At 39.8% G+C, this 12,632-nt stretch overlaps 1 non-coding gene across 1 annotated transcript, besides 5 other annotated features; it reads left to right on the forward strand.

The window, feature by feature from the left end:
* The first annotated feature begins 181 nt into the window (after nucleotides 1-181).
* On the forward strand, nucleotides 182-262 carry MIR4477B (microRNA 4477b). Its single transcript, NR_039689.1, has one exon. It is a non-coding gene; the product is annotated as a microRNA 4477b (primary transcript).
* Nucleotides 5,053-5,554: an enhancer, noted in NCBI's record as "NANOG hESC enhancer chr9:68420179-68420680 (GRCh37/hg19 assembly coordinates)". NCBI's record gives its function as "activates a minimal SCP1, AML or CMV promoter by ChIP-STARR-seq in primed H9 embryonic stem cells {active_cell/tissue: H9 hESC(primed)}" and the evidence as "EXISTENCE:reporter gene assay evidence [ECO:0000049][PMID:30033119]".
* Nucleotides 5,983-6,277: a silencer, noted in NCBI's record as "tiled region #9804; HepG2 Repressive non-DNase unmatched - State 25:Art, and K562 Repressive non-DNase unmatched - State 25:Art". NCBI's record gives its function as "represses a minimal TATA promoter and a strong SV40 promoter by Sharpr-MPRA in HepG2 and K562 cells {active_cell/tissue: HepG2 | K562}" and the evidence as "EXISTENCE:reporter gene assay evidence [ECO:0000049][PMID:27701403]".
* Nucleotides 8,843-9,137: a silencer, noted in NCBI's record as "tiled region #11770; HepG2 Repressive DNase matched - State 25:Art, and K562 Repressive non-DNase unmatched - State 25:Art". NCBI's record gives its function as "represses a minimal TATA promoter and a strong SV40 promoter by Sharpr-MPRA in HepG2 and K562 cells {active_cell/tissue: HepG2 | K562}" and the evidence as "EXISTENCE:reporter gene assay evidence [ECO:0000049][PMID:27701403]".
* Nucleotides 9,335-9,943: an enhancer, noted in NCBI's record as "OCT4-NANOG-H3K27ac hESC enhancer chr9:68424461-68425069 (GRCh37/hg19 assembly coordinates)". NCBI's record gives its function as "activates a minimal SCP1, AML or CMV promoter by ChIP-STARR-seq in primed H9 embryonic stem cells {active_cell/tissue: H9 hESC(primed)}" and the evidence as "EXISTENCE:reporter gene assay evidence [ECO:0000049][PMID:30033119]".
* Nucleotides 10,553-11,160: an enhancer, noted in NCBI's record as "OCT4-NANOG-H3K4me1 hESC enhancer chr9:68425679-68426286 (GRCh37/hg19 assembly coordinates)". NCBI's record gives its function as "activates a minimal SCP1, AML or CMV promoter by ChIP-STARR-seq in naive and primed H9 embryonic stem cells {active_cell/tissue: H9 hESC(naive and primed)}" and the evidence as "EXISTENCE:reporter gene assay evidence [ECO:0000049][PMID:30033119]".

Consider the following 12,632-nt stretch of genomic DNA (forward strand, 5'->3'; position numbering starts at 1 on the left):
ATATTTACCTTCAGCCTGTGGATCAAGGAGTGGTTTTGACTTTCAAGTGTTTTTATTAATTAATAATTGCATTTTGTAAAGGTATAGCTGTCATAGATAGTGATTTCTTTGATGAATCTGGATAAACTGAATTGAAAACCTTTTGGAAAGGATTCACCATTAATCCTTTCATGATATTTGAACCTCCTCCCGTGAATCACAAATGTCCTTAATAGCAATCCTTAAATGCCATTAAGGACATTTGTGATTGATGGGAGGAGGATGAAATATTAACATTAACAGGAGTTTGGAAGAAGTTGATTCCAGCCCTCATGGATGACTTTGAGGGCTCAGGATGTCAGTGGAGGAAGTCCCTGCAGATGTGGTAGAAATCACAAGACAACTAGAATTAGAATTAGGGCCTTAAGGTGAGATGAAATTGCTGTAAACTCATGATGAAACTTGAACAAATAGGGAGTTGCTTCTTATGGACGAGCAAAGAAAATATTTTCTTGAGATGGAATATAATCCAGGTGGAGATGCTATCAACATTGTTGAAATGACAACAAAGGATTTAGAATATTCCATAAACCTAGTTGATAAAGCAGCAGCAGGGTTTGAGAGGGTTTACTCCAATTTTGAAAGAAGTTCTACTGTTGATAAAATGCTGTCAAACAGCATCACATGCTACAGGGAAATCTTTTGTGAAAGGAACAAACTTCATTGTTTTAAAAAATTGACACAGGTTTCCAACCTTCAGCAGCCCCCACGCTGATTAGCCAGCAGTCATCAATATAGAGGCAAGACTCTCACCAGCAAAAAGATTATGACGTGGTAAGTCTCAGATATTCATTAGCATTTTTTAGCTCTGACGTATTTTAACTTAAGGTATGTACACAGTTTTTTAGACATGCTATTAATTAATAACTAATAATTATTAAATACTCATTAGACTACAATATAGTTTAAGCATAACTTTTATAAGCACCGGGAAATAAAATGTTTATGCAACTAACTTGATTGTAACATTTGCCTTATTGAAGTGTTCTGGAACAAAACTTACACTATCTCTGAGGTGTGCTTGTAGGTTTTTGTTTGTAACATTTGCCTTACTGCAGTTGTCTGGAACCAAACCCACAATATCTCTGAGTATGCTTCTAGGTTTTTGGTTGTTCTTTGTTTTGAGATGGGGTTTCGCTCTGTCGCCTAGGCCAGAGTGCAGTGGCATGATCATAGCTCACTGCAGCCTCAAACTGCTGGGTCAAGTGATTTTTCTACCACAGCCTCCTGAGTAGCTTGGACTACAGGCATGCAGCACTATGCCTAGCTATTTTTTTTTAAATACTTTTTTTGTAGAGACGGGATCTCACTATGTTGCCCACCTGGTCTTGAACTCTGGGGCTCAGGCAATCCAGCCACTTCAGCCTCCCAAAATGCAGACATTACAGGCTTGAGCAACTGCACCCAGCTTGTCTGCAGTTCTTAAAACAAAACGGCCAGGTGCGGTGTGTGACGCCTGTAATCCCAGCACTTTGGGAGGCCAAGGCGGGTGAATCACAAGGTCAGGAGTTCAAGACCAGCCTGGCCAAGATGGTGAACGCAGTCTCTACTAAAAATACAAAAATTAGCCAGGCACAGTGGCGGGCACCTGTAGTTCCAGCTACTCGGGAGGCCGAGGCAGGAGACTCGCTTGAACCCGGGAGGCGGAGGTTGCAGTAAGCCGAGATCGTGCCACTGCACTCCTGCCTTGCGACAGAGCAAGACTCCATCAAAAAAAAATGTAATTTAAAAGATTAAAAGTTAAGATAGATTTTTACAAATGTATATATCTACCATTATAGTATCATACAGAATGGTTTTACTGCCGTGAAGATTCTCTGTGCTCTGTGTATCCATCTCTTCCTTCCCCTTGGTCCATGGCAACCACTGATCTTTCTACTGATCCCATAGTTTCACCGTTTCCAGAACGTCATATAATTGGAATCGAACAGTACGTAGACTTTTCGGATTGGCTTCTTCTTTTAGCAATATGCATTTAAGTTTCCTCCATGTATTTTTTTGTGGCTTGATAGTTCATCTCCTGTTAGCAGTGAATAATATCCCGTTGCCATTATACTTTTGTCAAGACTCAGAACGTACAACGTGAAGAGTAAACGTGAATGTGCACTGTAAGCTTTGAGTGATAATGAAGGATCAAGGTAGGTTCCTGGTTGTCACAGGTGTGCTCCTGTGAGGCAGGAAGCTGTAGTGGGGAGGCTGTGTGTGGGGAAAGGGACATATGAGAAGTCTGTACTCTCTGCTACGTTTAGCTGTGAACCTGCACTTCTCTAAAAAATAAAATTAGTTAAAATTAAAAGCAAAAAATTAGAAAAATTAAAACATTACAATGTGTTATATAGTTTTCAAATCACAAGACAGAAAAAGACATAATAAAAGAAACTATAGAAAACAACAAGGATAGGAATAAAACATCAGTGATAGAAGGCAGAAGACAGAAATGTGGAGCCAAACACATTAATTTATTTTAATCATTAGTTATACTCATTTATACTAATTTATATTGATTTAACATATTAATTCTGACTAAATGGCATTAAAGGAGGTCTGAGGAATTTGCATGTCACATTCTGGATGACAGGACTCAATAATATTAACTCTTTAGTTGGCTGTAAATCATTTAAAAATATGCTCAAATTCCAATAAAAATTCCAAGAAAAATATTTTCGAACAAGAACATGTGATTTTAAATCCATATATTGAACACACACATACAATGAGAGCCATTATTATAAAATTTACTATAAGATATTTAAGATTATTATCACTATCCAAAATTAAACAAATTTGAAATGGCACAAAAATAAACACATTAATGAAAGAGAATTAAAAACACAGAAATTGAGTGTAATTTTATCTAGTAACAGGGTAACATTTTAAACCCACAAAACAGAGCGATTGTTCCATTTGTGGTATTAAAATATTGGGTAATGATTTCAGAATATAAAATGACAGAATTGAATCATGGTCCTACACCTTACATAAAAGTTAATTCCAGTATTAAATGTAAAAAAAAAAGAGAGAGAAAAAAGAAAATTAGATGTGTGTGTTTTATGACCTTGAGAATGAATGTCTTCTAAAACCAAAATTTCAAACAGAAACCATATAAAAAGGAATAAACCTAACGTACCTAATATGTAAATTCTTAAACATTTTAACACCAGGTAAATAGCACAAAACAAACTGGGGAAACTTTTACAGCAATTATGTTACATGAAAGTTAAAATCCTTATGACATATACAATGTATAAAACAATATGATTACTGCTATTATTAATAGCATTATGATTACCTGGTCTTCCCACGCACCAGTCCTCTTCTGGTGCCCTGTGGTGAAACAGAGCCCTCCCTCTCTGGCCACAGTGAGGGATCCAGCAGGAACCCGTGCCTAAACCCACAGAGGGTGTGAGCCAAGCCAGGACATCACATTCCCTCCTGCGAAATGATGCAGATACCCACTCACGACAGAGATTTGGTCCCTCTCTGGAAAAGCTGTGTAACAATTATTGCAGAAACTTGTTTCTTATGTTCCCAGACACATGGAGAAAGCTGGTCTGGAAGACTGATGTCCACATGCTAAAAGCAGTCACTCATAACACACACACTGCACACACCACACCATGTGCACATGCACACACACCCCACACACAGACACCACACAAACAGCACACACACCATGTGCGCATGCACACACACACCCCATACCCACTGCCCACACCCCACAAACACACCTACTGCACACACACCATGTGCACATGCATACACCCCATACAGACACCACACACAGACACCACACTGCACCCACACCATGTATACATGCACACACCCCACACACTGTACACACACGATGTGCACACATGCATACCTCTGACACCACACACACTGTGTACACATCATGTGCACACACACCCCCCCACAGACATCACACACACCACACAGTACATGTACCCGTGCACATACCCCCACACCACACACGAATCTACTACACATACATCACACACATACAGCACCACACACATCACACACCCCATACATACTCCCCACACACACCACACACCCCACACATACTCCCCACACACTGCACACGTACATACAGTGCCACACACATAGAGCAAACACATACCTCACATACATACACCACACCACACACACATTCTACAAACACATCAAGCACACATCAAACACTACACACACTGCACACACACAGCATCATACACACACAAAACACACACATCACATACACCACACACATATCACATGCACACATCACATATAGTACACATACACACCAAACACACATACACCACAAACACAGCACATATACACACCATGCACCACCCACATACTACACACAGTATACACACATAACACCCACAATACACTCCACACACACATATACATACCCCGTGTACCTACTACACACACAGACCACACACACATATCATGCATACACCTGCACACACCTCACAGAATACATACAATCCTCACTTTTAGAAATTAATTTGGCTTTTAAGGAGCCTGGATAGTAAAGTATTTTATTGGCGTTTGAGTGAGCCAAGAAAATGCGTATAAATACACATGCATAACTATGAGGGCCCAAGCAGCACTTTCGAAATCACAACATGAGATTAAACCGTGTAAATTTTTTATTGTTTTTAAAAAGTCAACTCTTTCTCATTTTACTAGAAACTATTTACCAGAGTAAACTAATGAGATTCTTCCTGAGGTCAAAAGACTTTCTGGAAAAACTTCTCCTTGATGAAATTGCACTTAAAACATCACTTTCATCGTGAAGTATTTCTTTAAGATGTTCTTGGTCCTTTTCCTGTTATGTGGAATCGTCAATTCAAATTTTTAAAAGTGACTCTGATATGTTTTTCATCTATTATTTAAAAAATGTTGAAGGGCTTTTTAATTCTGCCTTCAGCAGAGATCGACACACTCTGATTATGATGTAAAACTGAATACGTTACTCTGACAGGCTTTCTCCTCTGCAGCGCCGCTACCATCATTATTAATAATGATTGAATGCTTTTACTCCATGCACAATCTATATTCCCTGCTTTATAAAGAATAGAAATCTAATTCTCACTATGAAGGCAGATAAAAGTAATCCCTTCAATCTACAGATGACTGAATCATTTACCAAAGCACTCAGACTTTAAATAGAATTTATCAAATGTGTCTATATTTCTATGCATATAATTCATATAAAGAACATGTAGTTTAAATCATTGCACATTTTATGCTTTTAATCAGTTGTGATGGTCATTAGTATTTTTATCACATTTCTCCAAAGGTAGGCTAATCACTGTTATTATTTTCAGCTAGAAATATAAAAGGTATTTTCTATTTTTGATGACTTTGAAACATAACCCTTGGAATATAATATCTGTGTATAATATCTGTGGAAAGCATGAAAGTAATATTCAAACAGTATGCATTTTTTCCAGAATGAAAATTTCCTCTACAATAACATTCATCCTTTTTTCCTGATGGACACATAAAAGTCAACATTTCTAACATTGCTGGACGTTATTTACATTAAACTTGCCTCAGCTTCAGGTGTTGCAGAAACTGGGCAAGAGGCCACAAGGTACACAATACACACACACACACACAAACTTGTATTATTATACTTACCTAAGTGTCTAAAGAGGTGGATAAATATATTAGATTGCTCCAGAACAAGGATTTTTATGGGGCCTATTGGAAAGTATGACTGCAGTTTGAGTGAGATGCCTGTAAGAGATTCAATTTGGCCACTATTTATTGAGTATCCAATTTTAAAAGTACTGACAGAAGGCTCATGAGTTAGAAATTTTCACCTAAGTCTATTGGAAATGTGCTACTGGATGCTGTAGTAAAGAGTGGTGTGGTAATTGTAAAACACATCTGATATCTAAACCTTTGTTTTTTACCTGAAATCTTTATGGAGGTGATTGTGTATGTCAATTTGAATCTTCCCATCAACAAGATAAATAAATAAATAGCCAGCCTACCTCGATAAATTAGTTCACCTTTTCGGCAGTGCTTCTCCGCCTTTGACAGCCACAAGATTCGCCCGGGGATCTCCTTAAAATGCAAAACCATAGACCACACTTTGACTAGCTTGGATAAGGGGCCAGAGCATTGAAATGAGTGTGTAGGTGACTGTGCTAAGATTCTCCTGCTCATTTGGGAACTGGCTCGCTCACCATATAAATAAAGCTTAGGACCTCTAGTCCTTGCTGGAAAAGAAATACACATACATAGGATGTGACTGTGCATATGGAATATCTGTTGTGTTCTGGACATTGTGCTAGACAACAGAGATAAGGAGTCAAATAATCCCTTGTCTGTATTTGAAAAGAGCTTCCGACACAGTGGCTTCTGAGGTCTTTGAAACAAGATTCACTTTCAGATTTGATTATTTTATTTATGATTTGATATTTTCATTGAACCCCATGATATGATAAGGTTTCCAGAACCTGCTAGAACAATTGACTTTGCTTTCAGCATTATGAAGCCACTGAAGCATATAAGTAGTTCATTTATGTTTGTATTTAACCAGACAGGAACAAGTTGAGCTACTTTTCTGGCCACCTTCGTTTAGACCTGTTTTTTTCAGTTATTTTTCTTTGTTTGTTTTTGAAACGGGTCTCACTCTGTCACCTAGGCTGGAATGCAGTGGCGTGATCAGAGCTCACTGCAGCCTCTACCTTCTAGGCTCAAGAAATCCTCTCACCTCAGCCTCCTGAAAAGCTGCGACCACAGGCTCATACCACCATACCCAGCTAATTAAAAAATATATTTTTTTGTACAGACAGGGTTTTTCCATGTTTCCTAGACTTGTCTCCAACTCCTGAGCTCAAGCAATCTGCCTGCCTCAGCCTCCTAAAGTGTAGAGCTGTGTTTTTAGTCTTTTTTGAGCTGTTTTACAATGCAGTTTTGAATTGATAAGTTTGGATTCATTCTGATATTTACAGATTTAACATCCTACTTCACTAGATGCTCATAGCCTTGATCCATTACAGTAGCCACCTTGTCCATCTCTGCTCATAGCCTAAACTAACAGAAGCCAGAGGGAAGAAATGGAAGCCAACATGAGTCCAGAACACACATTTTATAAGAGCATAAGAAATTTAAAAATAGCAAAGTGTATCATGAAGTTTTTAATAGATATGCGTGGCTAAAATTTATTCTCAATCAATATATTCTATAAACTGGGAGAAAATATTAAACACATGAAAAGTAAGGAACTTGGGCTGGGCGCGGTGACTCACGCCTGTAATCCCAGCACTTTGGGAGGCTGAGGTGGGCGGATCACAAAGTCAGGAGATCAAGACCATCCTGGCTAACACGGTGAAACCCCGTCTCTACTAAAAATACAAAAAATTAGCCAGGCATGGTGGCAGGTGCCTGTAGTCCCAGCTACTCGGGAGGCTGAGGCAGGAGAATGCTGTCAACCTGGGAGGCGGAGCTTGCAGTGAACCAAGATCGCGCCACTGCACTCCAGCCTGGGCAACAGAGCAAGACTCCGTCTCAAAAAAAAAAAAAAAAGAAAGAAAGAAAAGTAAGGAACTTTTATCATTATTATATAACTAATATTGGTAAGCTATTGATTATTGCCACAATTTCAGATCCTGTTATTTGTCTATTCAGAGATTCAACTTCTTCCTGGTTTAGTCTTGGGAGAGTGTACGTGTCGAGGAATTTATCCATTTCTTCTAGATTTTCTAGTTTATTTGCGTAGAGGTGTTTGTAGTATTCTCTGATGGTAGTTTGTATTTCTGAGGGATCGGTGGTGATATCCCCTTTATCATTTTTTATTGTGTCTATTTGATTCTTCTCTTTTTTCTTTATTAGTCTTGCTAGCGGTCTATCAATTTTGTTGATCCTTTCAAAAAACCAGCTCCTGCATTCATTAATTTTTTTGAAGGGTTTTTTGTGTCTCTATTTCCTTCAGTTCTGCTCTGATTTTAGTTATTTCTTGCCTTCTGCTAGCTTTTGAATGTGTTTGCTCTCGCTTTTCTAGTTCTTTTAATTGTGATGATAGGGTGTCAATTTTGGATCTTTCTTGCTTTCTCTTGTGGGCATTTAGTGCTATAAATTTCCCTCTACACACTGCTTTGAATGCGTCCCAGAGATTCTGGTATGTTGTGTCTTTGTTCTCGTTGGTTTCAAAGAACATCTTTATTTCTGCCTTCATTTCGTTATGTAACTAGTAGTCATTCAGGAGCAGGTTGTTCAGTTTCCATGTAGTTGAGCGGTTTTGAGTGAGATTCTTAATCCTGAGTTCTAGTTTGATTGCACTGTGGTCTGAGAGATAGTTTGTTATAATTTCTGTTCTTTTACATTTGCTGAGGAGAGCTTTACTTCCAAGTATGTGGTCAATTTTGGAATAGGTGTGGTGTGGTGCTGAAAAAAATGTATATTCTGTTGATTTGGAGTGGAGAGTTCTGTAGATGTCTATTAGGTCCGCTTGGTGCAGAGCTGAGTTCAATTCCTGGGTATCCTTGTTGACTTTCTGTCTCGTTGATCTGTCTAATGTTGACAGTGGGGTGTTAAAGTCTCCCATTATTAATGTGTGGGAGTCTAAGTCTCTTTGTAGGTCACTCAGGACTTGCTTTATGAATCTTGGTGCTCCTGTATTGGGTGCATATATATTTATATAACTAATATGATGAGAATGTGGTTTATGTTTTTATCTTTGCAAGATTTAGGAACATTTAGTGCAAAGAGGAAGAATTTATAATCATGGGGAGCATGTATGATACTGGAGGGACCCTTCTGACAAGGGGGAAATGGCATCACGAGATATGCTATGGTCATAGCTTTGTGGGAGCACAGCTAGCTATGATCTCCCTCATCAAACCCATTGGGCAGTGTTCAGTTACCAACATTGAGATAGAGCTCACCCACCCAGGACAGAAAAGAACATATACACTGCAGTCAGAAGCCACTGAGTAGGAAGCTCCTTTCAGATAGAGGCAAGGGATATTTGACTTTTTATCTCTATTGTCTAGTACAATGTCCAGAACACAACAGACATTCCATATGCACAGTCACATCCTATGTATCTGTATTTCTTTTCCAGCCGGGACTGGAGGTCCTAAGCTTCATTAATATGGTGAGCCAGTGCCCACATGAACAGTAGCATCTTAGCACTGTCACCAAGACATCCATTTAAATGCTCCTATCTTAGCTAGTCAAAGTGTGGTCTATGAGTTTCCATTTTAATAAGATCCACGGGTGAATCTTGTGCATGTTACAGAGGAAGCACTGTCCTACATCATATGTGACAGGCTCTCATACTCACCATCATCACGGGAATCTTGTACATGTTACAGGGAAGCACTGTCCTACATCATATGTGACGGGCTCTCATAGTCACCATCATCACGGGAATCTTCTGCATGTTACAGGGAAGCACTGTCCTACATCGTATGTGACAGGCTCTCATAGTCACCATCATCACGGGAATCTTGCGCATGTTTCAGAGGAAGCAGTGGGGCCCTACATCATATGTGACAGGCTCTCATAGTCACCATCATCACGGGAATCTTGTGCATGTTACAGAGGAAGCACTGTCCTACGTCATATGTGAAAGGCTCATAGTCACCATCATCATGGGAATCTTGCGCATGTTACAGGGAAGCACTGTTCTACATCGTATGTGACAGGCTTTCATAGTCACCGTCATCACAGGAATCTTGCACATGTTACAGGGAAGCACTGGGGTCCTACATCATATGTGACAGGCTCTCATAGTCACCATCACCATGGGAAGCTGCATTTAGAGCATTTTAACTATATGGGCTCTGAAATCAGATGACCTAGGTTTAGACTTCCTTCTACTTCTTACTAAGCAGAGAACTCTGGGGTGAAAACTTTACGAGGCCCAGTTTTATCATGTGCAAATTGGAGGTATAGGGAAATTATAGCATTTTGCATGGAATATTGTTTTAAGTATAAAATGAAATAGTACATAGGAAGCTTCTGCCATACCTTAACTACACAACAAATATTAGTTAATATTAACTCATTTAATCCTAAGAAGAGGTCTATAAATTTGTACACAATAATTTTTTGTGGCTACTCAAATTTTCATAATTAATCTAGATTTAAAATCAAGGAATATTCTTACTTGTAGTTGGCAATCAATATGACATGCCAAAATTATATGTAAGTATTTTATTGTTGGTGAGGATATAAGAAATTTACCATCAAAAGAGAGACGATAATCTATGCTTGCAGACTCCGGAAAGCTGCCTCTCACATAAGAATTTGCAATTTCTGGGGGAAAAGAAAAAGTTGATTGTGCAAATAAACATTACCATGGAGTCTTCTCTATGGCAACATCAAAAATGAAAGCTAATTCTCATCTTCCTAACAATCTGCAAAGACGAGTGAAACACAACCTACTGAGCATCAAGTTAAAGAAGGAGAGAAATTTGAGTGGCACAGGAGGAAATCATGTCACCGCTAGCGAAATCAATATGACGAGTGCTCCTCTGTCCTCCTCCGAGGCTAAGGATGGGTTAAATATCAGTGGCTGACCTCAGGTAATGGAATGAGCAAAAAAGCTATAAAAATGCATGCATTACGTAATTAAGAGGGTGGGAAGGGATTTTTTTTAAAAAGGCAATTCCTACTTGGGTTCCTTCCTGTTCACCCCATTGGCAAAGAAGCTAGTCTTGCCCTAGAATTCTGGGAATGGCTGCAGACAAAACAAACACTGAGCAGACGAAATTCCCAGTAATTTAAACAAAACTCATGATATCCTTGTGTACAAGATGGAAGAAGAGTGGACCAGATGACAATATTTAGATGGAGTCATTCTTAACCCCCGTTGCTCTCCCAGTGATCTAGCTGGGGTTTGTATAAAGTGGAATGGGAGGAATAGGGAAGAAGCCCCCACCTACCCTCTCCCCTTGTCCACTTGTCCTCCTTCACTAGTGGATAAAGTCCACGGGAACAGGCAAGTTATTTTAAATCTGTATCTTCTGTTGTCAAGATCTGTAATCAGTTCTGCTCGCTGGACTGGGGACAGGAACCAAGGGAACATGAGGGTGAACGGGTTGACATGGAGTCCAGGAACACACTGTGCCTACATGCAGAATGTTTGTGCCAGGAAAGCCAGTCAGCAGGCAGATGGTCTCAGATACCAAGCTAGTGTTGGGAAGCAAGATTCAGTCTCTTGAAGGCGGTGTTCCTCATTCTGTGGTTTGTATCACTTGCTTCAGAATGACCTGGAGTACTTGTTAAAATGCAAATTTTGAGCCCAATCCTAGACCTCCTAAGCCTACATCTCTACGGATGGGTCTCAGTAGTCGATATTGGAAACGTGCGGGTCCCTAGGAGATGCTTATGCATATAGATTTGAACTGTTGTGTTTAAGGGTTAGGGAGCTGGCAAAAGCAAGGAATAGACCAAGCCCTCGGGTGGGAAGGCTCCATAACCTTGGCACTGTTAGCATTCTGGGCGGAACAGGATTCTGCCACATGCTTCGCAGCATCCCTAGCCTCTACTCTCTAACACCGTATTCCAGTTGTGAAAACAAAAATGTCCCGTGGGAGGCAAAATAGTCACCAGTTGGGAACTGGAACCACTGCTTTGTGAGATCAGAGTGGTTACTTTGTTCCCAATCCAGGGATCAGAACACACGATGAGAGAAAGTCCAGCTATTGGAACTGGAGTGCCAAGTTGGAGCTAGACCTACAACAAAAGCTCCAAAAGCTCCTTTATAGAGCTTGATCCCATGCCTCAGCTACCTAGCTTGTACAGATGCCATGTAACTCTAGATTTGGTGACAGAAGGAATTTAAAGGCCAGAACTAGACAGGGTCTTTCAGGTTAGGCCAGCACACAACTTGGACTTTTGACATCATCCAGATGCTTGAACCAACCTCAGTTCTGAGGCAGAATTTCCCGTGGCATCTGATACACAGCCTGGATTTGGAGCACTCACTGGGATTAGATGCCACGGGAATATTGTGTTTAGGAACTCTGAAAGAGACAGGCTTCAACAAAGCAGACCTAAGCAACACGTAGCATCTGAACTTCTTTATCAGCTTCCATTCCAGCCCATGAGGACAAAAGCATCACATACATATCCACTGTGGCAAACCTGTCCTCAGTAGGGAGTTTCCCCAGTACTACTCTCCCCTCTGTTCTGAGCCTACTTGCTCCTTTGTAATGTTTCCACTTTCTGTCCCACTCCCTAATAGATGATTTGTCCTCTCTGCCCAGCCCCCTAGTTCTGATATTTGGATTGTCTGTGATTTGGGTAGTACTTAGGAGGTAGAATCAAAGCCTTGTTGATTGGATTTGGAATTTCCCACTTCCTATTAAAGGCACTGATTAAGCATCTATTGTATAAAGTAAAGTAAGATTATGATCCAGTAAGAAAGATTCCGCAAGTAGCGCAGGAAGAATTGGTTTCTAGTACTTCATGCTTCAGCACCGGAAATCCAGAAAAAAATTCTGTGGTACATTAAGTGTTTACTGTAAGTTTCATTTCCATGTGAAAAACTGTAGTTAGCTAAAAAGTACATCCGTGAAGAATCCTGATTAAACTTGTTTAATCCTGGTTAAACTAGCTACTAGCTAAAC

Source organism: Homo sapiens, chromosome 9, assembly GCF_000001405.40.
Source record: "Homo sapiens chromosome 9, GRCh38.p14 Primary Assembly".
Lineage (NCBI taxonomy): Eukaryota > Metazoa > Chordata > Mammalia > Primates > Hominidae > Homo > Homo sapiens.